Here is a 6294-nt window from a genome sequence, read left to right as displayed (position 1 = left end):
GACGACGAGACGGACAGTGATGTCCAGGCGTGCGCCCGGGGGCCACTGGAGACCTGCCCCACAAAGCAGAGGAAAAGCCAAGCGCACCTGCAAACCTGCGAGACAGGGCCTGTGCGCGAGTCCAGGCCACATTCAGGGAGGCCCGCCAGAGGAGCCCAGAGCTTTGGACCAAGTACACCCCACCCCCACGCCGCTACCGCTTAGGTACCCCTGACGCAACCTCCCCTGCACCCAGCCAAAACCCAGTCCCGTTGGCTCCCTGACATCCGTGGCAGCCAAAAGATTCAGTGCCAGAAGGCGCTTTCCCCAGGAGCGGAGGGACCGGTTGGCCCTCAAGGATCAGACAGGAAGTGCAGGTGGGATGCAACACCGCCTTTCCTGGAAGGCCAATGTGGGGAACGGTGGGCTTGCCTCCCCCTCTTCCTGGACCGAGCGCGCAGCCATCACTTGGGCCATGGAGACCAAGAGAGCTTCCCTGTCCCACACAGGTATGGAAGCCCAGAGCTCCAGGATCACCACACCTGCCCAATCATCCAGAAAGAGGTGTGGAGAGGGAAACGATCATGACACGGACGCCCACGGGGTTTCTCCCTGATGGACTGGGAAGTCTTCTTTGTTGAAGACGTTGAGCCAGAATAAGAAGCCGCCAGGCTTCTCAGAGACGGGGCAGACACAGCAAGAGGGAGGACAGAGCAGAGGCCAGAGTCCAGGCAGGATACGGGGCCATGCCACCACCACGGGCATCCGGAGAGGAGTGTCAGACGGGTGACTCGGCCAGGAAGGCCAGCCTTTGAGTGACAGAGATGCTTGCCCCATCCCCTTGCCGGCTTCCTTCTCCGTCCCTGCGTCGATCTGTGGCTCCATTTCTCCATGAGGGAGAGGGCGAGAGGCGTGAGAACCATCTTCTTGAAGGTCTGCGGGCACCCTCCTGCGGGTGGACAATGAGCGCCTGGGAGGCCGTTGTCCTTGCTTGGGGAGCGGTCGTCTGGATCTAGCCTAGCAAAGAGGCTGCTCCGGATGGGGAGGGGACGAAAACCCCTGCGGTTCCGAAGCAGATGCCGGCGTTGCCCAGGCCCTCACAGACCCCCAAACCGGAACCGCCGGGAAACCGACTGCTAACCGGCCACACGACCGAGGCAGAGACGCGGGGAGAGGCTGACCAGAAGAAAGGCCGACCTGCAAGAAACCCACCCTCCGGCACACGAGGCACATGTGTCCCGAGGCACAAGCACACACAGACGGACAGAGATAGAAAGAGAGGGCGACGGAAAGAGCGAGGGGGGGGGGAGAGAGAGAGAGAGACAAGAGATAGACAGAAGTGGGCACACGGACGCCACGCACGCACGCACACAGACACACACACACACACAAACACACACACACACACACACACAACCAAGACGCAAACAGACATACAGCAGGTAACACCCACCCCCAGGCTGCCCCTGAAGCTGTCGGGTTCTGCTCTCCGCGACTACGAGGCCACCGGTGAGACAGCAGCCCACGGACACCCTGGCAGACCTGTCCTCCACATCACAAGGGCGCCACTTTTGGGGAGACTCACCCGCACACCGTCCGTGCACGCCTGAGGCTGGAATCCCGCGCTGCGGCCCCGGCGATCTGTCTGAGGTTTCTTCCTCCTGGCGGACCCTCCGCGAATCCCGGCCTCCGGAGACCGTCCTGGTAACTGCCCTGGCCAGGACTGGTCTCAGCCCCGACTCTGACGCACAATCACACAGGGCTCCTACTTCGCCAATTCTCAGGGACCCATCCCCGGGCAACGGTGGCAGTCACTGTGACCAAAGCGGCGGCTGGGGCCTCGCGCATGCGCACTGGCGAGGCCGACTCACCCGCCCCACCCCTCCTTACTCAGCAGAGTCAGGCTGCGGACCCTTTAAAAAACGGCGGTGACGCGGCGGCTGCGGGGACTGGGGCGGCGGTGCTGGAGGTTGCGGCGGCGGCGGCTGCGGCGCAGCCCGAGGCGGCGGGTGGGAAGAGGTCTACCAGAGGGGCCTGCGGGAGACCCAGGGTCGGACCCATAGGAGTCCTGTCGTCAGGACCTCCTTGATCGGTCTCCTGATTCTGTTCCCGGTGAAGGAGGACCTTCGGGGTGCTGGCTGGGCTGCGCGGACTCCTCTTGGGATCCGATGATGGCTCCCACCGGCTGATCGGGAATGGGGTTACAATGCAGTGAGGCGGAAAGGGTCTCGCCGGGGCAAGGAAAGATCCCCAGGGCCGCAAGGCGTGCTGTCGTCTGCAACGGCACGGACCCATGAGTCCACTGCCTCCCTCCTTCCTGGGTGGAGCAGGGGCCTGCCTTCATCTTCAAGGCCCGGGCGCTCCGGCATCCCGACGCAGCTTCCGGCGACACCGGCAAAGGCAGACAGAGGCGAGTCCGAGCTGGAGCCCGTGTGACCAAACGTGGCACTGACGTCCCCCAAGAGCACATGCAGTGAGCGTGTGTCTTTGAGGCCGTAGGGGGCGACTACGAGACGGACAGTGATGTCCAGGCGTGCGCCCGGGGGCCACTGGAGACCTGCCCCACAAAGCGGAGGAAAAGCCAAGCGCACCTGCAAACCTGCGAGACAGGGCCTGTGCGCGAGTCCAGGCCACATTCAGGGAGGCCCGCCAGAGGAGCCCAGAGCTTTGGACCAAGTACACCCCACCCCCACGCCGCTACCGCTTAGGTACCCCTGACGCAACCTCCGCTGCACCCAGCCAAAACCCAGTCCCGTTGGCTCCCTGACATCCGTGGCAGCCAAAAGATTCAGTGCCAGAAGGCGCTTTCCCCAGGAGCGGAGGAACCGGTTGGCCCTCAAGGATCAGACAGGAAGTGCAGGTGGGCTGCAACACCGCCTTTCCTGGAAGGCCAATGTGGGGAACGGTGGGCTTGTCTCCCCCTCTTCCTGGACCGAGCGCGCAGCCATCACTTGGGCCATGGAGACCAAGAGAGCTTCCCTGTCCCACACAGGTATGGAAGCCCAGAGCTCCAGGATCACCACACCTGCCCAATCATCCAGAAAGTGGTGTGGAGAGGGAAACGATCACGACACGGACGCCCACGGGGTTTCTCCCTGATGGACAGGGAAGTCTTCTTTGTTGAAGACGTTGAGCCAGACTAAGAAGCCGCCAGGCTTCTCAGAGACGGGGCAGACACAGCAAGAGGGAGGACAGAGCAGAGGCCAGAGTCCAGGCAGGATACGGGGCCATGCCACCACCACGGGCATCCGGGGAGGAGTGTCAGACGGGTGACTCGGCCAGGAAGGCCAGCCTTTGAGTGACAGAGATGCTTGCCCCATCCCCTTGCCGGCTTCCTTCTCCGTCCCTGCGTCGAGCTGTGGCTCCATTTCTCCATGAGGGAGAGGGCGAGAGGCGTGAGAACCATCCTCTTGAAGGTCTGCGGGCACCCTCCTGCGGGTGGACAATGAGCGCCTGGGAGGCCGTTGTCCTTGCTTGGGGAGCGGTCGTCTGGATCTAGCCTAGCAAAGAGGCTGCTCCGGATGGGGAGGGGACGAAAACCCCTGCGGTTCCGAAGCAGATGCCGGCATTGCCCAGGCCCTCACAGACCCCCAAACCGGAACCGCCGGGAAACCGACTACTAACCGGCTACACGACCGAGGCAGAGACGCGGGGAGAGGCTGACCAGAAGAAAGGCCGACCTGCAAGAAACCCACCCTCCGGCACACGGGGCACATGTGTCCCGAGGCACAAGCACACACAGACGGACAGAGATAGAAAGAGAGGGCGACGGAAAGAGCGAGGGGGGGGAGAGAGAGAGAGAGACGTAAGAGATAGACAGAAGTGGGCACACGGACGCCACGCACGCACGCACACAGACACACACACACACACACACACACACACACACACACACACAACCAAGACGCACACAGACATACAGCAGGTAACACCCACCCCCAGGCTGCCCCTGAAGCTGCCGGGTTCTGCTCTCCGCGACTACGAGGCCACCGGTGAGACAGCAGCCCACGGACACCCTGGCAGACCTGTCCTCCACATCACAAGGGCGCTACTTTTGGGGAGACTCACCCGCACACCGTCCGTGCACGCCTGAGGCTGGGATCCCGCGCTGCGTCCCCGGCGATCTATCTGAGGTTTCTTCCTCCTGGCGGACCCTCCGCGAATCCCGGCCTCCGGAGACCGTCCTGGTAACTGCCCTGGCCAGGACTGGTCTCAGCCCCGACTCTGACGCAGAATCACAAAGGGCTCCTACTTCGCCAATTCTCAGGGACCCATCCCCGGGCAACGGTGGCGGTCACTGTGACCAAAGCGGCGGCTGGGGCCTCGCGCATGCGCACTGGCGAGGCCGACTCACCCGCCCCACCCCTCCTTACTCAGCAGAGTCAGGCTGCGGACCCTTTAAAAAATGGCGGTGACGCGGCGGCTGCGGGGACTAGGGTGGTGGTGCTGGAGGTTGCGGCGGCGGCGGCTGCGGCGCAGCCCGAGGCGGCGGGTGGGAAGAGGTCTACCAGAGGGGCCTGCGGGAGACCCAGGGTCGGACCCATAGGAGTCCTGTCGTCAGGACCTCCTTGATCGGTCTCCTGCTTCTGTTCCCGGTGAAGGAGGACCTTCGGGGTGCTGGCTGGGCTGCGCGGACTCCTCTTGGGATCCGATGATGGCTCCCACCGGCTGATCGGGAATGGGGTTACAATGCAGTGAGGCGGAAAGGGTCTCGCCGGGGCACGGAAAGATCCCCAGGGCCGCAAGGCTTGCTGTCGTCTGCAACGGCACTGACCCATGAGCCCACTGCCTCCCTCCATCCTGGGTGGAGCAGGGGCCTGCCTTCATCTCCAAAGCCCGGGGGCTCCGGCATCCCGACGCAGCTTCCGGCGACACCGGCAAAGACAGACAGAGGCGAGTCCGAGCTGGAGCCCGTGTGACCAAACGTGGCACTGACGTCCCCCAAGAGCACATGCAGAGAGCGTGTGTCTTTGAGGCCGTAGGGGGCGACGACGAGACGGACAGTGATGTCCAGGCGTGCGCCCGGGGGCCACTGGAGACCTGCCCCACAAAGCGGAGGAAAAGCCAAGCGCACCTGCAAACCTGCGAGACAGGGCCTGTGCGCGAGTCCAGGCCACATTCAGGGAGGCCCGCCAGAGGAGCCCAGAGCTTTGGACCAAGTACACCCCACCCCCACGCCGCTACCGCTTAGGTACCCCTTACGCAACCTCCCCTGCACCCAGCCAAAACCCAGTCCCGTTGGCTCCCTGACATCCGTGGCAGCCAAAAGATTCAGTGCCAGAAGGCGCTTTCCCCAGGAGCGGAGGAACCGGTTGGCCCTCAAGGATCAGACAGGAAGTGCAGGTGGGATGCAACACCGCCTTTCCTGGAAGGCCAATGTGGGGAACGGTGGGCTTGCCTCCCCCTCTTCCTGGACTGAGCGCGCAGCCATCACTTGGGCCATGGAGACCAAGAGAGCTTCCCTGTCCCACACAGGTATGGAAGCCCAGAGCTCCAGGATCACCACACCTGCCCAATCATGCAGAAAGAGGTGTCGAGAGGGAAACGATCATGACACGGACGCCCACGGGGTTTGTCCCTGGACTGGGAAGTCTTCTTTGTTGAAGACGTTGAGCCAGACTAAGAAGCCGCCATGCTTCTCAGAGACGGGGCAGACACAGCAAAAGGGAGGACAGAGCAGAGGCCAGAGCCCAGGCAGGATACGGGGCCATGCCACCACCACGGGCATCCGGGGAGGAGTGTCAGACGGGTGACTCGGCCAGGAAGGCCAGCCTTTGAGTGACAGAGATGCTTGCCCCATCCCCTTGCCGGCTTCCTTCTCCGTCCCTGCGTCGAGCTGTGGCTCCATTTCTCCATGAGGGAGAGGGCGAGAGGCGTGAGAACCATCCTCTTGAAGGTCTGCGGGCACCCTCCTGCGGGTGGACAATGAGCGCCTGGGAGGCCGTTGTCCTTGCTTGGGGAGCGGTCGTCTGGATCTAGCCTAGCAAAGAGGCTGCTCCGGATGGGGAGGGGACGAAAACCCCTGCGGTTCCGAAGCAGATGCCGGCATTGCCCAGGCCCTCACAGACCCCCAAACCGGAACCGCCGGGAAACCGACTGCTAACCGGCTACACGACCGAGGCAGAGACGCGGGGAGAGGCTGACCAGAAGAAAGGCCGACCTGCAAGAAACCCACCCTCCGGCACACGGGGCACATGTGTCCCGAGGCACAAGCACACACAGACGGACAGAGATAGAAAGAGAGGGCGACGGAAAGAGCGAGGGCGGGGAGAGAGAGAGAGAGACGTAAGAGATAGACAGAAGTGGGCACACGGA

This window comes from Homo sapiens, chromosome 4, assembly GCF_000001405.40.
Source record: "Homo sapiens chromosome 4, GRCh38.p14 Primary Assembly".
Lineage (NCBI taxonomy): Eukaryota > Metazoa > Chordata > Mammalia > Primates > Hominidae > Homo > Homo sapiens.
Note: the sequence above shows the minus strand (reverse complement) of the source record.